Source organism: Homo sapiens, chromosome 15 (genome assembly GCF_000001405.40).
Source record: "Homo sapiens chromosome 15, GRCh38.p14 Primary Assembly".
In the NCBI taxonomy this organism is placed as follows: Eukaryota; Metazoa; Chordata; class Mammalia; order Primates; family Hominidae; genus Homo; species Homo sapiens.
The window spans coordinates 87,660,920-87,683,492 of NC_000015.10; the positions used below are offsets into that span (position 1 = coordinate 87,660,920).

The window sequence follows — 22,573 nt, forward strand, 5'->3', positions numbered from 1 at the left end:
ACCCCTAACCTCTGAGGCTGAGGCAGAGGCAGAAAAACCTTGGCCTGAACCTCTATGGTGAGAGAGGTAGAAAAAAGGAAGTTCTTTGCAGAGCTCTTCACCCAAATCTCCCATCCAAATACAGAGACCAAAGCCCTCACTCTTAAAAAAAAAAAAAAAAAGAAAGAAAGAAGATTTGAAAACTAGAAAACTAGCCCAAATAAAGTCTAGGCCTTCAACCAAAGAGTGTGAGGTCCAAATTCAGAACTCACCCAAAACACCCAATGAGCCTTCTGAAGACAGGGAGTTTGTGCTTGTACCAAGTGCACTTTTCAAAGAGAGAGAGCAAGTGGTTGGTGGCGTCACTGAGTTCTGCTAAGACAGATGTGTTGACCTAAAAGGGAGAAACTAAGGTAACATTAATGTAAATAGAGAGTTTATTTGGTCCAGGCTTGAGGACTACAACCCAGGATCGTAGATTCAATTGCTCTGAATATATACTTCCATAAGCAGCAGTTACAAGTGAATTTCTGAAGGAAAAGAAGAGGTAGTTCCTAAATTGTTTACCAAGAATTTACATGAAAATAGCATAAGCTATTGATATCAAAGGTCCTCTGTTTTGTCTATTGCTTTGATTAGCAGCAGTTACAAGTGAATTTTTGATGATTGATTGGTTATACATTGTTCTTTTGATTATGAATTCCAGGACATGAAGATAATGGGTGAGGCAGTTAGTCAGAAATTCCTCTAAACAATTGCCCTAGGCATGGGTGTGGAGGTAGGCATGACCGAAGTCCCATACTCAGGGCTCTCTGGGCCTTCATACCTCGCAAAGCTCAGACCACTCTGAGTTATTTTTGTTTTCTCTGCCTCTTCTTTCCTCCCACACACAACTTCCAGGACCTCCCATTGGCTGAAACCACCTCAATGTCAATTGCCATGGGACCTGCACAATGCAGCCTACATTTTACTGTCCATTTTTAAAATCCCCTCTTCTATATTCTGAGAGACTCTCTTCCTGGAAAACAGAGTTTTCTAGCACTAACATTTTAGCTTAAACAATTTCCCCTTGGATGAAAGCAACCCTTGGGGATAAAATGTTTTATTTAAACTCAGGGGGGCTTAGCAAGGAGGATGAAGGTCATGCATAGAATTACTGCTGTGCAGAGGGCTCAACTTGGTGGTTCTAAGTCTGAAGAATTAGGGACTTCAATTCAGACTGCAGCTGTGAGTGACTAAATCTTTCCTACTTGCTTTTTCCTCCTTGCTGTCTGACCACCCATGGCGCAGATACAATGGAAAAACACAACTCACTAGGTTCAAGTTCTGGCTCCAAGTCTATTCTATTATATTTTGGCCATTACTTTTAATGGCAAAAGCCATAATTACTTTTGTACTAACTTAATACTATTCTCCTAGTAATACTAACAGTGAAACAGCCTTTGTAAAATTATGACCGAAGACAGTGAAAGAGATCTAACTTAATCAACTCCATCTTGCTTTTAACCTCCAAGCTGTCCTTGTTTATTCCTGGGCTTAGGCTGAACTAACTTTGGGAGAAACTGAGTTCACAGTTTATAGTTTAAAGAAAGATGGTAAGGCTGTTTCCCAAAGCGATCTCCTTCTTGCCTGGGGACTAGATTGCCTTTGTAGGACTAACAGCCACAAGATTAGAAATTATGGTTTAGGAGTCATGCAGTTGGAGGCTACAAGAGTCTGACCCTCCTTAAACTGCTGTTAAGATCAATGCTTGAGATATTTTGCAGACCCTGCACTAGATGGATCAGCTGGCACCACCCAGATCAATAAACTGGCTCATCTGATCTTGTTGCCCCCACCCGGAACTGACTTAGCACAAGACGAATGCTGCCACTCCCTATGACTTCATCCCTGACCAATCAGCACTCCTGGCTCACTAGCTTCCCCCCACCCACCAAGTTATCCTTAAAAACTCTGTTCCCAGGAGGGGCACGATGGCTCACACCTGTAATTCCAGCACTTTGGGAGCCGAGGTGGGCGGCTCACCTGAGGTGGAGAGTTCGAGATCAGCCTGACCAACATGGAGAACCCCATCTCTACTAAAAAACATAAAAAAATTAGCCAGGCATGGTGGTGCATGCCTGTAATCCCAGCTACTTGAGAGACTGAGACGGGAGAATCGCTTGAACCCAGGAGGCAGAGGTTGCAGAGCCAAGATTGCATCTTGGGCAACAAGAGCAAAACTCCGGCTCATAAAAAAAAAAAAAAAAAAAAAAAAACCTCAGGTCCCAGCTGGGCCAGCGCAGTGGCTCACGCCTGTAATCCCAGCACTTTGGGAGGCCAAGGTAGGGGGATCATGAGGTCAGGAGTTCGAGACCAGCCTGACCAACATGGTGAAACCCCATCTCTACTAAAAATACAAAAATTAGCCGGGTGTGGTGGCACGTGCCTGTAATCCCAGCTGCTCAGGAGGCTGAGTCAGGAGAATCGCTTGAACCCAGGAGGCAGAGGTTACAGTGAACTGAGATGGCGCCAGGGCACTCCAGCCTGAGCAACAGAGCGAGACTCCATCTACAAAAAAAAAACAAAAAACAAAAAAAAAAAAAAAACACTGTTCCCTGAATGCTCAGGGAGACTGATTTGAGTAATAATAAAACTCCGGTCTCCTGCACAGCTGGCTCTGTGTGATTACCTTTTCTCTATTGCAATACTCCTGTCTTGATGAATCGGCTCTTTCTAGGCAGCAGGCAAGGTAAACACCGTGGATAGTTACAAATCTGGGGGCTCGTGTGGGATTGTCCTTGTGGCTACCTGCCCATGGCTAGTGGCCCTCCTCCAATGACAGATCCAGAAGCCAGGTGGATCCATCCGGCTCGGGCTGGCTCTGGTACCCTCTCAACTGGCAGGGTGCTGCTGACCCAATGTGCGTGGATTTAATTGCAATGGAGAAATAGTTATGGGGAGACGTCCCTTAACTATAGTCCTATCATAGGATGACCGTCTGTAGCCCCACTGCAGGGTGTCTGGATTGGTGAGCATCCTAGATGCTGCCAATGCCTCCTTCCTTCTCCAGACTGGTTCTGTAGCCCTATGGTGTGGTGTCTGCAGCCCTATTGCGGAGTGTCTGTTTGTAGCTCCACCATGGGGTGTCTGCATCTGTAGCCCCATTGCAGGGTGTCTGTTCACCTCCTGCGGGGGTCTTGGTTGGCTCCTTCTAACTAGTAGGAAGAGTGTTAGTGTGTGAAACTTCTCCTCAATCAGGAAGATTTCAAGGAAGTTTCTCAGTCGGAAAGCAAGAGGATAGTATGTAAGAGATACTCCTGGAGTTCTTGGTTAGGGATCTGATTTGGAAGGCCTTCTGTCCATCTCATCTTTGTGTGTGTTTGTATACGTGGAAGGGATCTCAGAAGGGGTTGCTGATGGAAGTCCAGCAGGCCTAACTCAGAGAACCCTCCTCATTTGTCTGGTCACATTCGATGAGCCCTAAAGAAGGCTCAACAGGCCTGTCTCTTGGGGTGACTATCTGGTCTTCCCTTTGCCCTGAGACCTCCGAATTACCATTTGGAGGTTGTCCCTTCCATCTGGAGTGGATCAAAAGACAACAGGGACCAAGAAGAAAAAGTTTGAGCTTTGCCAGGTTAATATTGGGTGCTGAACGAATTAACTAATGTCTGTTTTGTTATGTGTATTTTGCTGAAATGGAAAGTGTTAATTCGGTTCCCCATGCAACCCGTTGGGCAGCATCTCGCAAATTGAGAATCTTTTCTATTATTCCATAAAACAGTAAAGGGTAATTTTCTCTTTTACAGTGGCTGGAACCCCACAGCTATAGCACAAGTGAGCAGGGTCATCAAGAAGCCACTTTGTTCTTCTGGAAGCTGCAGAGAAGGGAACCCAGACACCTGCTATGCCAGCAAAAAGGTAAGGAATTCTTACCGGCCAAGTTTTGATCCCTCTCAAAATATAAGGCTCTGTTCTGTTTTGCGTTATCTGATGGTTTTGAGTTTTAGGGGTATCAGAAATTACTTCTCATTATAAGAGAGCTTTGGTAATAACTAGGTAGGAAATATACTTTAGGGGATGCCTAATAGTAGTTATGGAGGAATACTTGACTCTGCACACTTGGATTAGACAGGCATGCTCTTGTGGCCATCTGGAAGATATGGAAACATCCCCACCCCTCACTGAAAAATAAGACTCCCCTGGGGGACGGTCTAATTACAATATGGGCTGATTGGCTTTGGGTTGCCTTGCAATGAAATGCACATTCGGTAAAAGCATGGCACTGTCTTCTCCTGAAGTATTTCCCTCCTTTTGGGGATCCAGGATCCAGTATAAAATGACACCCTTAATTTTGGGGATCTGTCTTTGCCTTCAAGTGTGATTAGGCCCTAGAAACACACGCTTTTCTGGCCCTGTTCTTCCAAGGGCTCCACCCTGAAGCCAGTAATCCAATTAAGAAATCTGCCAAATGAAAAATCTTACAAGTGCTGAATCTTCTGTCTGTGTATTTACATGTGTTGTATGTTTATATATAAAAGAGCTCTGATTAATTCACTTAGAAAAATAAGCACTTAAATATTTTGTCAGAAAAATCAAAAGTTTAATGCCTTTTTGTTCATGTGACTAATAATCTTTCAAAAATAAAGACAGTTTTAAAAATTATTGGTAAAATGTTGTGAAAATGTAAACAATTTGGTGTAAGGTCAGATATCAGATTTGTTAAATACTTTAAGGTCAAACTGTTTCCTTGACTTTTGAAAATTGTTCAATTTACCTACTTTAGAGCATTAGATTATGGAAGAGGCCTGAGAACATGTGAAGAGCCATGCCCCTAGCTATGCTGAAAAGAGACCTTTTCTTCATTTCTGTCTAATGTTCGAGGCTCCACCCCAGTACATAATTAAAACTGCTTATTTACCAGGTTTTTCACTAAAAATAAAAATTGCTAAGAGTTAACATTATAACAGGAAATTAAGATTACTGGAGAAACAGTTTTACATACAAGGTGCATAGGTAATGTGTTTTTGGTAAAAGATTATAAGAAGTCATGGGATTATGGCTTTTGTTAAAGGGAATGTAATTTTGTCTAGTTCAGAAGGTTTTAAAGATTGTCCTAACCTAGAAGAGTAATGGAACAAAACTAAAGGTTTAAGCAAAGTAAAAAGGGTTTATAAAGGGTTGATCTTATAACAAAAAAATCTGTGGGTATAAACAAGTTGGCTAAGACTGGAAAAGAAATTATTTATGTTTTTTCCATAGGTTAAAACATTAAAGTCATACTGATGTGGGGCCAAAATCTGGGCCCAGGTTTTCGAAAAACAGGGTTTTCTTAGAAAATTGATCTGCTGTTTAATGGAAAATTATAAAAGGTTCTAAAAAGTTTATGAAAATCTTAACTTATGGTCCAACTAATTAAAGGTGGATAGAGATATAAAATTTTATTTAAAAAACTAGTTTTAACATTAAAGATACACTAATGCAAACATGAAATTTGGTTCTCTCTTGAAGATTTTTATGTAATTTTAAAAGATAATGACAGGGTCTTGCTTTCTCCTTTGGGTACGTGGCAGGGGATAAAGAGAGGAAAAAGAAAAGACAAATTGAGTTAGCTTCATGCTATCTTTATTGGGTCTTGTTTGGAAAGCTAAGTTTCCTCTATCAGAGTAAAGGTTTTCTTTTTTAAATTTTTAAAGTTATTTTGGCCAAATGAATGACTGCTGGTGACCTGGGATTCTATTTTGTGACATCCAGTGTTTTAAACCTTTGATATTTGACAAACTTTCCAAAATCAAATTATAAATTATGTCTCTTTCTAGCCTAATCTTTTAAGTATTAGGTCCTTTTAAGTCCAAAAATGACATTTGGCTTATTTTGTATAAAAATCATAGAGGAAACATTGTCAAATATGAAATGGTATTTGGCTTTCTTTGGACTGTATTTATATAAATGTATTATAGGTATATGTTCCAAAATTACATAAAACTCCTATAATTCTAATATGACTTAGCATATATCATCAGTAATAATTATAATTATGTTAAATGGCTGTGTGCCACAGAGGTAACAAATTTCCTTGTCAATCATGTCTTTAACTGTGGCTGCCCTAAAATATTTTTGTTATCCACAGGCAACTGTTGTCTCACTTTGGGAGCCCAAGGCGAGCGGATCACGAGGTCAGGAGTTTGAGACCAGCCTGACCAACATGGTGAAACCCCGTCTCTACTAAAAATACAAAAATTAGCTGGGCGTGGTGGTGTGTGCCTATAATCCCAGCTACTCAGGAGGCTGAGTCAGGACAATCACTTGCACCCGGGAGACAAAGGTTTCAGTGAGCTGAGATTGCGCCACTGCACTCCAGTCTGGGTGATAGAGCAAAACTCCATGTCAAAAAAAAAAAAGTTTCATAATCAGTTGTAAAATTTAACAGGTATTCTCAAGGGCAAAATTCTGATTAGTAACTCTAGAGATTGTGACATTAGAATAGAGGAAAAACTTTCAAATATAAAAGTAAATGGTGTTTGGTTTTCATTGGAGTATTTGTATAAATATGTTATTAATGTGTTCAAAAAATTATGGGACACTTCTATAATTCTAATATGATTTAGTATACATTATTGTTAATTATAATTGTTATGTAAAATTGTTGTATGCCACAGAGGTAACCAAAATTCCTGTCAATTGTAGCTTTAATAGTGACAATAGACATCTGTCATCCACAGACGTTTTGTCTTGCTTTGATCCTTTTCAAAAGGCAGTTTATAATCAGATATAGGAGTCTAAGTCCAAGTCTCAGATAACTTTAAAAGTTGTGCTATTGGAATAGAGAAGAAACGAAACTTCCAGGACTCTCATGGAGAGCCGATGTGTTAAACATTGCTAATCCTTTTGTTTTCAGAGTCAAGATAACTTATTTCTTTAGAGCTATTTGCAACTTTTAATGAGTAAACTATGTTGCTGTGAAAAAGATTTTTGGAGCATATTTGTTTCTCTCTACCTAATTTCTCCAGAATTTGGAAACTATTTGTTAGTATTCTCAATTTATAGTGGTATAGTTAATTGCATAAGTGCAATAAGAATCTGTTTTCTTTTGTAACACGACACAATTAGAAAAATTGGTTATTTTACCAAGGCTTTGACTAGAATGGCATGCTTTATTTAAAGAATCGAAGTTGACTTATAGAGCCAATTAAAGCCTCTTAGGAAATCTGGCCTCATACCTTGTCCACACAGAGTCCCTGTACAAGGTTCCTGACCTGTGGTAAGTAAAGCATGTCACTTTCTAACAGGTCCAGGAGCCCCAAGTTATCTTGGGACCTCAAGAGGAGAGAAATTTACCCAACTCATAGGTAATTTAAGGGTACAGACCCATGGCTGGGCTCAGCTTTTAAAAAGTCTTGTCTGAGATTCCCTGCGGAACAGAGTTCCAACAAAGCCAATTAAATATGAAAAATAATTATTCCTGCTTACTTTATACAAACAATCAGGCAAGTACAATAAGACTAAAGTTTATTTTGTAATCAAATCAGTTCTATCATTTTTTTTAAATAGGAACTGGAGAGAAAAAAATATGCTAACCAAAAAAAAAAAAACCATAGTACACTCTTGTTAGCTGTTCGTAAGGTTTTTTTTTTTTCTGTGGTTTAGATTAAATTCTTTCTGGATTTGAAGTCCTCAAACTAATGCTTTCAAATCTTTGCTTTTAAAATTAAGAATTGTACTCCTCATTCTAGGACTTATTTACCTTACAGTATGCTGTTCACGTAAATACTGTACTAAAACTATAGCTGAAAGTACTAACGTGTTTACCACGCAAGCCTTGAAAGCCAAGCCATGTTGGCGTGAGCACACTCAGACAGTTGCAAAGCGGTCCCATTCTTCTCACCTTGGGGTTCACTCCCATTCCCACTATGTCCCGTCAGCAGAAGAAGCCAGAGTAATCAACGGCCTTTTCCCATCTTCATAGCCTACACCTTAAGATTAAGGTGTTATAAAACTCAAAGGGAAGAATTGAAACTTTCTTCACTAAATTATGACTGAGACAGTGAAAAAGATCTAACTTAACTGACTCCATCTTGCTTTTAACCTCCAAGCTGTCCTTGTTCATTCCTGAGCATGGGGTGAACCAACTTTTCAGAGAAACTTAGTTTATAGTTTAAACAAAGACTGTAACAGCCCTTTCCCAAAGCAGACGCCCTTCTTGCCTGGGGACTAGATTGCCTTTGTAGGACTAACATTAGCCACAAGATTAGAAATTATGGTTTAGGAGTCATGCAGCTGGAGGCTACAAGATTTTGACCCTCCCTAAACTGCTCCTAAGATCAATGCTTGAGATATTTTGCAGGCCCTGCACTTGATGGATCAGCTGGCACCACCCAGATGGGTAAACTGACTCACCTGATCTTGTGGCCCCCACACAGGAACTGACTCAGCATAAGACAGCTGCAACTCCCTATGATTTCATCTCTGACCAATCAGCACTCCTGGCTCACTGCTGTCCCCCCACCCACCAAGTTATCCATAAAAACTCTGTTCCCCGAATGCTCGGGGAGACTGATTTGAATGATAACAAAACTCCAGTCTCCTGCACAGCCGGCTCTGCGTGAATTACTCTTTCTGTACTGCAATTCCCCTGTCTTGATGAATCGCCTCTGTCTAGGCATTGGGCAAGATAAACCCCTTGGGCAGTTATTATAACTACCAATTATTGAGAATTTTCTATGTAAATTTCACTCTATGAGAAAGGTCCTACTATTATCTTCAAGTTATGAATGAAGAAACCGAAGCTCTGGGAAATTAAGCTACTTTCCCAGTCCACAGAGCTAGTAAATGGTGGAACCAGGCTGTATTTGAACTCATTTCTCCCAGACTCCAAAGCAAAGCTACTACACGCTGCTGCTTCACATTCACTGTATTGTTTGAAGCAAGTCGCTGAAAATGTCTACTTTTTCATAAAATGAGGCTGATCCACATTGACTTTGTCTACTTTCACAAAGTGGCTGGGATTCTCAAAGTAGATAATATGAGTGAAAATGTTTTGAAAACTCTTCAGGCTCTCTCACTTTATACGGTATTATTTCCACTTCTGCTTCTAGCAGGCGCTGTCTGGTTCCTAAGTCTCTCCATGTGGAGCTGAGCTACTATTTTTGGCCTTCCAAGCTGTTTTCGTTTTTCACCAGAATGCATGCTCCATTTGGGTAATGGTAACAGATGTGACAATGGGAACAAAACTCCTACCAGCCACATTCTAACCCAAACATCCCAGGAGCCACTTCCAGCACTCATCTCTTCACTTCCGCTCCGAGACAGGGAAATGTGAGAATACAGGGCTCTGCTTCACCGTCTTTTACTAGCCTTGATCATTTCTGATAAGTGTTCCTGGTCATCACTTTTCCTTTCTACATCTTTGAGTTCTGGTGTGTTGTCCATATTATATTACTAAAGGTCCACAGGGGAAGAGTGATTTGACGAAGGTTAAGAAATAATTATAAGAAAATGTTTTGACATTACGTTAATGCCTGTCAGGGTATTATCCCCAATTTAAAGTTAATCACCAAAATTACATTGCAATTCCAAAAATGTAATGAAACAAGATTTGCTGAGGTGTGAATAATAAAGAATCAGAGCCGAGAGCTAAAAGAGAAATAAACTTGTTTAACCCTTTTCTAGTCTCCTGCCAAAGAGCAAAGAAATAGATGGCGATTTGGGCCATGTGGATCTTGGCAAAATTAATGGGTTCATAATCTGGAAGAAAACAAGAGGTCTTTGTCAGCACTAAAACACAACCAAGTATTGAGATAAAAAGTTGACATTTAAATCCAGGTCAAAAGCATTCCAAAAATCTGGATATTTGTCATTGTGTGGGCAAGATATTTAGACACTTGATAAATTGCTCAATTTTCCTCTAGAATTTTGGTGTCTTGCAGAGGTCTGGCTTTATGCTTCCAATGGGCTGTCAAGCTTTTCTGCTTGAATACCCAGCCATCACCTCAAAATCAAACCAAGTCTATCATATTTCCTTCAAAACCAATTTCCCTCTTTCTGTCACTGGAAACAGCATTTTCTCAGGCTCTGACACTTGGAATTCTACAGCCATCTTTGACCCTTTAAGTTTCATGCCACCCACACACATCCAGGCCAAAAATTCTTTCAAGCAGTCTTTTAGAAGTAAAGATGCCGACAGGAGTGTCCATTTTGCACGTGCTTTCTCCAAGACAAGCTCTCGCTATTAGGTGTTTTTCACACATTATCTTTTACCCTCAAAACAACTTTGCAGGATAGATCATATTACCCCATTTAAAAGAGGACAAAACTGACATTTGGGGTGCCAACTGGCCCAGTCACTCCTGCAGGAAGTCCTTGTAATTGAAGCAGGGATGCAATTCCAGGTCTGTCTGCTCCAAAGCCACACACAGCATCAGCATGCCCACCTCACAGGTGGTAGTGCAAATCCACTGAGTGACTGGAAGAGGGCCTGGCACACAACAAGTACTTGGTAATTGCTGCCACCTGATCTCTCTTCTAGGCCACACTCCCCCGTGCCTGCCTTGATTCCCCCTGTCACTACCCTTATCCTGCCACACAAATTTATGGCCCAGACGGCGGCCACGCCCAGCTATCTGACAGTTCCAGATTCTCTTTTCTCTATCCTGAACACAGCTGCTGCATTTATCTTCTCAAACATATCTTGGTCGTGTTGAGAAGATTGTGCTGCACTCTAGTTTACAACCCTTTGATGGCTCCTCACTTTCCTTAGGAGACATTTCAAACTGAGCCTGCCTTTCAGAGCCCTTTGGAATTACCATCTTCCATCCTCATCACCATCACCTTATGAGAACTCTTGACTTCCATAAGGTAGGTGTGTTTCCTGGACTCAAGTTGGCCTCTCTGAATGGCATGAAGAGATTCTTCTGCTGTGAATGCCCCTTAACCTCCACTTTAGTCTTCCATTTCACTAAGTCCCTATTCAAATGACCCCTTCTCCAGGAAGTTCTCAAGGACCACCCCAGCCCACTCTATGAGCATTTCCCCTCCCTGACCTCTCATGGTGCTTATCTGCCTTACACATATGGCATTAATCAAACCCTGCCTTAGACTCCAAGCAGCTTTTTCCCTCAACTAAAAGCAATGTAATTCAGTAGGGAAAACACATCCTTCACATGATGATGGGCATGCATTTGAATCTTGAATCTGCCACAAATTACTAGTTTGATTTGTCAAATCACTTACGGGTTTATGCCAACTTTTTAATAGATTCAATGATAGATTTCATTTACTAAACATTGCTTGTGTGACTAAGTGCCTTCAATGCATAATCTATGAAGGAGGTAATCATATCACCCCCTCTTCAATGAGAAAGAAACTGAGGTTCAAGGAAGATAAGAAATTTGGTAATTTTCTTAAGTCAAAGAAACTGGAAAGTGTGAGCTGGGATTACTCTGGGACTTAAAAAGATGCTTTCGTTTATCTAAGAGAGCCTTTCATTTACATCTTGAAACAGTCCTTTTCATCAACATCCCAGGCTTCTGCAACCCAGTGCTATGAAAGCCCAGGAAACCACTGTGCTTCTGCTATCCCATTTCCCAGCCTGCCTTCCTTTACTTTCCCAGCAGGGGGAGCAGAGGATGGAAGGAAGCGATTCCAGGGAAAAGAATCAGAAATCTTCAGAGTTGGAAGGACCTGAAAAAATGGGGCCCCACCCCTCCATGTCATAGACGCACCAGAGGCTTGGACAGGAGAAGCAAGCAGGCCAAACACACCCACCTCACCAGAAACAGTGCTTCCTCCCTCCCAGCCTCAACTCCCTAGCATGCTCAATAGGCCAGGCAGCCTCACAGACATGCAATTGAAAACCAGGCACCTTATGCATTAAGAGAGACGTCCTTTCATCCATTTCCAATCTGTTGCCATTTAATTTCATGAGGCAGGATAAATAGGAACACCCACTTGGCCTTTGGGGAGCCCTTTATTACTTCATTTACCTCCACCTGGTCTCTCACCACTCCACATGACTCTGTAATATACAGCTCTAATCATTGGTGTTTTCTCTGCCAGCAAAATCCACCCTGTCACCTCCTGCCCCACCTCACCTCCAATGTCTCTAATCAACTCCACTGCCCTTCACTGGCCTTTCACCCTTTCATTTATATCCTCGTTGAGATAAGACAGCTGGCCCTGACTGCTGTATTCAAAGTGAGGATGTACCACTGATTTATAGGATGGCATGATAATATTTCCGCATCTCATTCTCCATCCCCTTCACACAGTCATGGGTCTTATCTGAACGCCACTAGGCATGCAGCAGATGTCTTCATTGAGCTGCCCATAATGACACTAGCTGTAGATCTCTTTTTGCCTCTTTCTCTCTTTTTAACACAGACATTGCAGTTAATTCGGAGACCACTCATGTGTGCATAGAGTTTAAATCGCTGCCTTCCAATGAGCATTGCCTAGCCCTGGTGTGCAGTGTAGATAACTGCCTATTGGAGAAATTCCTTAAAGAAGCTCTGGTCCCCACAGCACTTGAACTTCAGTTTAAGGGTAAATGTTTAATATGAGAGGCCACAGTGCCACCTAAGATGATCCTGGGTGTTTAGGGCAGTAAGTCAGCTTTCCAAGATGAGCATGCATTGATTTGCTGAGCAATCGAGATTAGGGCATGGGAAAACTCACTTTTCTCTTTCAAGGGTATAACTGATGCCACCAAGACAGGTCAAGTTGGTGGTGGCATTTGGTCTTCTCTGAATATTTGTAACAGTCCTAATGCTATTGCTAAAACACCAGAGAATACAGCCAAAGCACTCAAGTGCATCACTGGAATGGTAATTTGCCTGTGCTCCCTGTGTCCCTCAGAGTCTGTACCAGTCAGGGCTCCCCAGCGAATCAGAGGCCAGTAAAAGGTCGACGGATGGAGAGATAATTTCAAGGAATTGACTTACATAATTGTGGGGACTAGTAAGCCCCAAATCTGTATGACAGGCTGGCAGGCTAGAAAATTTCAGGCAGCATCTGACGCAGCGTCATGAGGCAAAATTTCTCATTCATTCATCAGGGAAAACTATTTTGCTCCTAAGGCCTTTCAACTGATTGGATGAGGGTGTGCACATTATTGAGGATAATCTTCTTTACATAAAGTCAACTGAGTGTAGATGTTTACCACATCAACAAAATATCTTCACAGCAACACCTAGATTAGGTGAAGATGAAATAACTGTTACTATAGCCTAGCCAAGTTGACACATAAAACTAATCATCACAGAGTCAAAGGCAATAAGCTATAGCATGAGATCTCCTTTTAAATCTCCACCAGCCCAAGAAAAATCCCTTGCAGCACAGCAAATGCCAGTCCCAGCCCTGAGATTTCAAATACATATGGGCCAGCCCTGAGTCCTACTTCAGCCTGCCTATAACAGCCAGTCACAGTGCTGTTAGATCTTGGAGATCACTCCAAGACCACCCCAGATGTGCTCCTTACTCTCTGCAGTTGGAGACTCAGATTCACTAAATGTGGTCACAACTTTAGATTTTTATATTCTGGTGACATATTCAGGCTCTTCTCCCTAGATCTGGGGACTTGTTTTCCCACATGACTCTCAGTTTCACATGTGCCCCTATTGGAGGGTTCTCCACTTTATTTCACAGTCTCCTTCTATTAGCCCCAACCATGTAGACTAGCCCTACTGATTTGTCATAGCTGCTCTAGCAGAATAGGCAAATACAGAAAAAGAAAAGCAATTTATGAATGTACAAGGAAGGCTAGGAATTGGGGCAGGGCTCTAGCCACTCAGATGGATGAAGTCTACAGGGAAGGATATGGAAGAAACCATTCAGGTTTATTTCCTTTTTAATTTTTTACTTTTTATTTTTTGAAGATATACTCTCACTCTATCCCCTAGGATGGGGTGCAATGGCGTGATGATGGCTCACTGCAGCCTCGGTCTCCCAGGCTCAAGAGATCCTCCCACCTTAGCCTCTTAAATAGCTAGGACCACAGGTGCCTACCACCACACCCAGCTAATTTTTGTATTTTTTGTAGAAATGGGGTCTCACTATGTTGTCCAGGCTGGTCTCAAACTGCTGGGCTCAAGTGACCCCCCTGCCTCTGTCTCCCAAAGTGCAAGGACTACAGGTGTGAGCCACCATGCCCGGCCAAGAGTTCAGGTTTAAAGATAAAAGAAAGCCAAGTTCAAAATCGTCACAATCTTGACACTTGCAACTACTTGCCATGGCCTTGGACATATTATTTAATCTCTAAGTCTTAGTTTCCCAGAATGTCCAATATGGATATAAACCTACACCATAAATGGAGAAGATAATAGTATATGCCCAGCAAATCCACATTTTTGTCTTTGAAAGCATGCTGTTATATGACATTCCCCAACCCACTTTCAACGCATGGGCCAAATGATGAGCTCTTGCCTGTTAAAAGTGGGTGTTCCAGGTACCTATTGCTGTATAACAAACCACCTCAAAACTTAGCTACTTAAAACAGTAAAAGTCATTTATTCTGCTCATGAATCTGCAATTCAGGCAGGGCTTAAAGGGACAGCTTGTCTCTTTTCCATGTGGCATCTGCTGGGACAGCTTGACTAGGGCTAGACGATCCACTTCGAAGATCGCTCGCTCACATGGCTGGTACGTTGGTGCTGGTTGTCAACTAGGATTCAGCTGGAGCTGTCAGCCAGGCCTCTGTTTTTCTCCACATCAGATTCTCTATAGAGTGATGGGCTTCCTTGTGCCCTGATGGCAGGGTTCCAAGAGAAAGTGCCCTACAAGGCAGGGAAAGGAGACTGACAATCTCTTAAAGTCTAGGAAACTAACATAGTGCTAATTCTGTTGTATTCTGTTGGTCAAAGCAGTCTCAGAACCTGTCTGAACATAAGGTCAGGAGACATAGACCATACTTCTCAATGGGAAGACTGTCAAGAATTTCTGGCCCTAATTAATCCACCACAATGTTTCAGCCAAAATGGAGAAACAGGACCAGATCAATCTCTCATTTAAAAAAACTAAAAACCAGACAAAATATGAGCCAACATCATTCAAGACAGTGAACATTAGTCAACAAAGGCCAGTGTTCCCTAAGATAGGAAGCAAGGGGGTGAGTGCTAAAATTGCCCCAGTTTACTGCCTGGAAGAAGTTTCCAGGCCACAGCACAGGGAGGGAAAACACAGGTTTTTCAGACTTCTTAGTTGAGGAGAAAGAACAAGACAGTCAGGTATCTGCAAAAGCTAAAGTGCCTGGAGATTGCAGGGAAGAACAAAGGAAAAGAGAGCTAAAGAAAGATAAAACTCCAGATACCTGCAGAAAGCCTCCATCAACCATCAACTATTCAGCTAAAAACTGATCAGGGCTTATATGTGAAAAAAAATTGCATAAGCCCAGGGAAAGAACCACCTGAAAGGATCAGCAGGAATACAACTGTATCTCATTGAAGGTAAGGAACAGTACCTGTTTCCAACGGTTAAAGTGAAAAACTTCTTAAGTCAAAGGGCATCCGAATACTAGGAAACACCTCCCTTATTTATTGGGAAAAATTATGCTTTTCCGGCGTTTCTAAATGTTGCTCTGGTTCCACCCAATACAGCTTAAAATAAAGACCTGAAAGGATAGAAGTGTTTCTAAGTAACTTCACCATGTCCTTGGGAAAAAAATAAAAAATACATATAGAAATATAAAAATATCCAGCACTCAACAAGCTAATGACACCCAACAGTGTGTAGCATACATCAGAAATTACCAGCCATGCAAAGAAGCAGGAAAATGCAATCCATAATGAAGAGAAAATTCAAAGGTCAGCCAAGAGAAATGATCTAGAAACGACACCGATCATAGAATTAGATAAGGACATTACAACAGACATACTGACTATATTTCATGTGTTAAGAATCTACAGGACACACTATAATCCCAGCTGAGGCAGGAGAATCACTTAAACCTAAGAGGCGGAGGTTGCAGTGAGCCGAGATTGCACCACTGCACTCCAGCCTGGGCAACAAGAGTGAAACTCCATTTCGAGAAAAAAAAAAAAAAAAAGTATCTACAGGAAGGACATGAAGAGTACAAAATATGAAAATTGAACTTCTAGAGATGAAAATTACAATGTCCGAGATAAAAAATACTCTGGATGGGACTAATGGAAGATTAGATGGGTTCTTGGAAAAAAAATATTTAGTGAAATTGAAGAAACAGCAATCAAAACTATTCAAAATCAAACACAGAGGAAAATAAAAGACTAAAAACTGAAAAAAATAAGAGCATCAGTAAACTGTGGGACAACTTTAAACGGCCAAATTTGGTAAAAATGATAAACACACATATCTAAGAACCTCAATAAATTCCAAGCACAAGAAACATTTAAAAACACATTAAAGCATGTTATAATCAAATAGCCTAAAACCAGTGATAAAAACAACATCTTAAAGCAACCAGAGAACATACACATTATGTACAAAATTACAAAACTAAGAATGACAGCAGATTTCTTTGGAATCAAACAGAAGGCAGTGGTGCAACATCTTTCAGGTCTGAAAGAATTTAGTGATGAAGACTTCTTCCCACTCTGCTTTTTTGTATTAGCTTCCCAGGGCCGTCACTTGACAATTACTACAAACCAGGTGGTAAAATAGGCACTTACTCTCTCACAGCTATGGAGGCTTGACGTTTGAAATCAAGGTGTCAACAGAGTTGGCTCTTCCTGGAGGCTATGAGGGAGAATCTCTCCCTTAGCTTTCAGTGGCTTCCAGCAATCCTGTGTTCTTTGATTGTAGCTGCATCACTCCAATCTCTGCTTCCATCATCACATGGCCTTCTTTCCTACACCTTCTCTGTCTCTCCAAATCTCTCTCCATGTAAAGGTGTCAGTCATTGAATACAGGCACTATCCTAATTTATATGACCTCATCTTCATCTATATCTTTATTATATTTGCAAGAACCCTACTTTCATGTGAGGTAACATTCGCAGGTACACAGGATTAGGACTAAATATATCTTTTGGGGGGGGACATTTAATCTGCTCATGCCTCTGTGGGCTGCACAGGCTTCTGCTTCTCGGGAGGCCTTAGGAAACTTACAATCATGGTGGAAGGCAAAGGGGAAGCAGGCACATATTCACATGGCCAGCAGGAAAGAGAGAGAGCAAAGGGAATGGTGCCACACACTTTTAAACAACCAGATCTCATGAGAACTCTATCACAAGAAAGCACTGGGGGGGGGATGGTACTAAACATTAGAAACCACCCCTATGATCCAATCACCTCTCCCACCAGCCTCATCTCCAACACTGGGGATTACAATTTAAATGAGATTCAGGTGGGGACACAGAACCAAACCATATCACAGTTCATTCCATTACACTCTTCTCTGGTTTTCCAGTGGATGAGGAGGATCCAGTGGAGCATTCTGAGGTCCTAAAGGAGGCCAGAGCCACTTGATGGAAGGAGACTGGATCTCTGAATCACTATGTGGAAGGCCACCCTCAAAACATGTGACTGAACTGTTACACATGTGAGAACATAAAGCATGAATGTGAAAAGCCACAGAGACTATAATTAGTACTCTTAATATTATGTGCCACTGTTATGGGGACTAAGTGAGACCATGCACATAAGGGACCTGATACATGATAGGTGCTAAATAACTGGTAGCATGGGAACAGGAAGCACTAAGTCTACGTTAGTTCTTATGTTGCGTTCTATGTGAGTCTTGGGGAAGAGCCAGGCCCTTCTCAAGACTTGGAAGAGTGTCAGGCTTATACTCTATTATCAAAAGACTTTCATTCCAGTAGGGATAAATTACCGAGTAAACAGAAGAGACAGCTCCTAGGTCCTTGCAAAGTGTAGCATTGCCCTCATCATACCAAAATTCTCTTCCCATTCCAAAATAGTACAGTTGACTTAGTTTACTCAAGCACAGTGGCCCCCACCTTATTCACGGGAGATGCATTCCAAGAATCCCAGTGGATGCCTGAAGCTATCCATAGTATCAAACTCTACATATATGATGTTTTTTCCTATACATATGTACCTATAATAAGGTTTAATTTATAAATAAGGCACAGTAAGAGATTAACTACTAAAATAAAATAGAATTATAACAATATACTGCAATATGTTATGTAGATGTGTTCTCTTTCCTTTCTCTTTCTCTCTCAAGATATCTTACTGTACTGTACTCACCTATTTTCAAATCACCATTGACCATGGGTAACTGAAACTGTGGAAAGCAAAACAAACCGTGGATGAGGGAGGACTACTGTAATCATTAGGCAGAGCGAAAGATGATTTACTCTAAATGTTTGACCCAGTTAACTGACAAATTCCATCACAGCAAACCCTGTTACAAAAAATCTTGGTTTCTGACTGATCCAGGGAAGAAATCTGATCCTCTGCTGTTTCCAAGCAAAATCAGTTTACAAAATTATTTTCTGTTTCCTATACATCTTCTGAAATGACTATAGACCAAATAACCAGTCGATTTGGAGCCATTTTTTCCTCCCATCTAAAACACAGAGATATTTTTCACTCCTATGCAAAAGGGAAAATGTTAAATCACATGCAAATTGCAGATATAAGCATTTAAAGACTGTTTCCCTGTTTTGTTTGTGAATAATCTTTCATTTTATGAAGGAGTCAAAATATTTCAGTAGGTAAAATCAATAGCAGCCCCCAGAGTGGGTAGAAATTCTCCAGGCTTAATATGGTTTCATGCATGGCTATCCAAGCTGAATGTCTTAAGGGAGCAAATAGTGAATTCCCTGCCTTAGAAGAGATGTAAGAATTAGAATCTTTTCTTTTTAAAACCAATCTGTTATATAATGGTTCATTTATTCAACAAATATTTATTAAGCATTTACTGTACACTACATACTACATCAAATGCTTGAAATACACAAAAAATAACATCAAGAACCTACCCCAGAGGGAAGAGCCTGGTGAAATGAGTAATATTTAAGAGTGCCTGCTAAATTTTAAGCAGTGTTCTAAGCACTTTGCAAACATTAACTCATTTATTCTTCATAACAACCTATAAGGTGTTATTAACATGCCTATTTTACAGATAAGAAAAGTGAGGTACAGAGTTTCAAGAGTGTTCCCAGTCCCACAGATAGTTAATTGCAGAGCCAGGTATGACCTTAGGCTGCCTGACTCTAGAGACAATGCTTCTGGTATGCACGGAACAAATATATAAGTACAGTCTCACCAATGTGATCAGAGACAGATTCAAAGAATCTTGGCCACAAGGTCTGTCTCATTTCATTATTGTTTTCCCCAGTTCTTCACAGAGTTCCTGACATGTGGTAATTATTTTAAAAATTATTTAATTAAGCACTAAAAGAGTAATTGAGAAAGTAATCTGATGGAACCCCACAGGCAGATTCCGCCTTTGCTGGGGGAAATCATGAAAGGCTTCACAAAGAAAGTGATTTTGAGCTGGGTGTGGGAAGATGAGTTAGGCCTTTGCTAGGTCATTCCTGGAAGCAAAGGCATTCTAGGAAGCAGAGTAGCCAGTCCAAAAGCACAGAGGCAGGCAAACCATGGCCACTTAGGGGGGTTATAAATAGTTCACAAATAACAGAAGGATAATTGTTGATTTATGTAATCTCAGTCTGACTCCTGAGCAAACAATGCTTCTCAGATGATTCCTGAGGTTCTGAAATAGAGGGTTGCTTGGTGTTTTTCTTCTTCATTCTTGAAGAAAACTCAAGTTTTGTGGATATGGTTTCCTGAAGCTGCTGCTTCTAAGGTAAACCTTTAGATGAATGATTCCCAACATTCCCCTGGAGATCAGCCCAGGGGCTCCAGTCTTCCCTAGAACTGAGAGAATCAACATTTTGGTCCACCAGGAATTCTGAACCAAGGCCCATCCCTTGAAAAGCTCTTTTTTGTTTTGTTTTGTTTTTTTTGAGACACAGTCTCGCTCTGTCACCCAGGCTGGAGTGCAGTGGCACTATCTCGGCTCACTGCAAGCTCCGCCTCCGGGTTGACGCCATTCTCTTGCCTCAGCCACCCTAGTGGCTGGGACTACAGGCACCTGCCACCACGCCCGGCTAATTTTTTGTATTTTTAGTAGAGAAGGCGTTTCACCTTATTAGCCAGGATGTTCTCGATCTCCTGACCTCGTGATCCACCTGTCTCAGCCTCCCAAAGTGCTGGGATTACAGGCGTGAGCCAGCCACTGCACCCGGCCAAAAAGCTCTTTCTTAGGTGGAAAAACTCACCCGAGCTTTGGCAACCATTGCTCTACGTGTGGAATTCCATACATTGCAAAGTTAGGAAAGAAATGAAGGGTAGGCCATTGGTATATACATGCTCTCTGAAGTCTAAGCATGTGTCTGACTTCAAAAGGGCTAAGAGGAGCAGGAAACAGGTGGCAGTGAGAGAAAGCCTTAGCAGCAGGAAGAGGAAGTAGTCAAGAATGAACCACACCCAAACAGAAGGAACTGCACTGTCCCCCAATTTATGCACAGAGTAAAGCTAAGGGAAAATAAGACACCCTTACTGATTCAGAAAATGCCTTTTCACAAATAACTGTTCTCTGAGGTCATTATTTTTCTTCTAGCTTCCTTGGCTGACCATGTTGGTGCTTCCCAGAGAGTCCATGTGTCACCTGATGGATTCTGTGCCCTGCTTAATCAAGCTGTGCTGTGCTCAACCTCCTTCATTGCTCTTGGTGTTCTAACCTGTTAGGATGATATTTGGGTTCCAGAACCTGACTTCTACCTCATGTCTGTCTGTTTGCTTCCTTGCTTTCTCCTTATAGTATCCACCATTACCCAAGCTTCAGGAAAAAAAAAAAAAAGGAAAACAGTAAAAATGTTAAGAACAAAATATCTGAGCATGGAATCCTATGGCCATCAAAAACTGGTGCCCACAAAATGGACCTTAATATGGTGTTTCTAAAATAAATAACCAAGGAGCCAAAAGCATTGCTAGTATTTGATGTTTAAGTTTCTAGAGTGACACTGATAAAGAAGTGTTCATATTCATATTCTCCATGAACATTCCCAGCCAATCATTAAATAAGAAAATATTTATTGAGCACCTACTTACTAGGGTTAAGACATCACGCTAAATACTGTGGTGATCTAATTCATTATGGCATATTACCAATCCCTTCTAAGGACTTACATTCAATCTGGGGGTGACTGATGAAGTGAAAAATGGCAGGGAGGGAGGGATGGAGGGAAGAAGGAAGAAAGGAAAAGAATTAAAAAAGGCATGTAATAGGTGTGTTCCTATTGCCAACTTAGAACTAGCATCAGGGTACTCATTTCTTTCAGGACAATTGTTTGGTACCTCAGCTCCTCAAAAAGTTCTTTCTCTGGATTAAAACAAGGAGAATATTCTTGCAATGTTTCTTTCTGTCCCGTGTGGTGTCTCATTCCCAGATCACTGTGATGTCATCTGTTGTTGATTATCTCTTGGTTCCTGAAGAATCCTTTGTCCTCATGGAAACACCCATACCCAGTTCCCAAAATCTTCCAATAGCTTAAAAATATCTCCCCTCTGCTCCTTCCACAGACTCCACCTGTGCACTGTGGATAGTCTACCATTCTCAGACCTCCCTACCTTGGCAGAATGTGCATAGGGAGGACCTGGAAGGAGCCAGTACTTTCTCATGTCACCATCAGGAAGTGGTCCCTACACCACTTGGGGCCATTTGCTCAGCTGCTGCTCACCTCCAGTGCCCACAGAAGTCTATTCTTGAGCTTCTCACTGCTCTTTTGCTTCTCCCTATATGTCTGTGACCCTATGCCCCAGGTTGCCAGTAAGGGACTATTCACTCTGCTCTGGTCTAGGGGAAGGTGTTTTCTCACAGGCAATTTCTTATCTTTAGCTGACACCCGGTTCTAGAACTCAGTCCCTTATTCCTCCCTCTGCCACAGCCATTCCAGGGTTACTGGCTTCTAGTCTCTGTTCCTCCAGCCAAACCTTTCTGATTCTCACCAGAAGATTTACTTTTTCCTGGATTAAGGAAAGATGTTACAAATGGAAAGAAAACTAGAAGGTACCATATGGTAAGTGACAAGCTAGTTAAAATGGGTTTTAAGGTCCACAGGAGTTGAAATATCCAGGAATCACCATGAATGGGAGGGACCCCGAACTCTGGGGTTCAACCTGGGTCACAAAAGATGAATCACATTGAGATAAATGCATAAAAGCAGGAAAAACACTCTGGAAGGTATAGACACTGCAAGCAAAGGCAGAAAAACAGGGCAGGAGAAAATGCCAGCATGAACCAAGACAGGATTGCTCCAGGTTCTTTCGGGAAAAGTAAAAAAAAAACTTCAGTTGTTGGAAGCACAGTCTTTTCTTCATTCTTCAGGGCTCTTCTCCAGTGTCATTCTCCCTGAAGCTTTTCCTAGAGCTCACAAACACATGGACACTGTCATATGCAACCTCATTTACTCACCTAGTGATGCTTCAATGCATTTCAATTTGTGAGCATTTTTCTCATCTCTCTTACCTCATTACAAGCTTCATCAGGTGGTATATTTTGGACTTTATGGAAACATTAATAACTTGATACCTATAATGTATGTGCCTATCACTTAACACACAACTAGGGTGGCCATATGATTTATCTTCCAAAATAGGACACTTTGAGGAAT

The 22,573-nt window shown here is 41.3% G+C and overlaps 1 long non-coding RNA gene across 1 annotated transcript in view, besides 1 other annotated feature; it reads right to left on the reverse strand.

Annotated features, from left to right (window-relative positions):
- The window catches only part of LOC102724465 (uncharacterized), a 379,687-nt gene that overhangs the window by 336,751 nt on the left and 20,363 nt on the right, over window positions 1–22,573 (reverse strand). The window lies entirely within an intron of this gene.
- Window positions 7,784–8,983: an enhancer, noted in NCBI's record as "P300/CBP strongly-dependent group 1 enhancer chr15:88211934-88213133 (GRCh37/hg19 assembly coordinates)". NCBI's record gives its function as "activates an origin of replication core promoter dependent on BRD2, BRD4, P300/CBP, MED14 and CDK7 cofactors, with strong dependence on P300/CBP, by STARR-seq in HCT116 cells {active_cell/tissue: HCT116}" and the evidence as "EXISTENCE:reporter gene assay evidence [ECO:0000049][PMID:35650434]".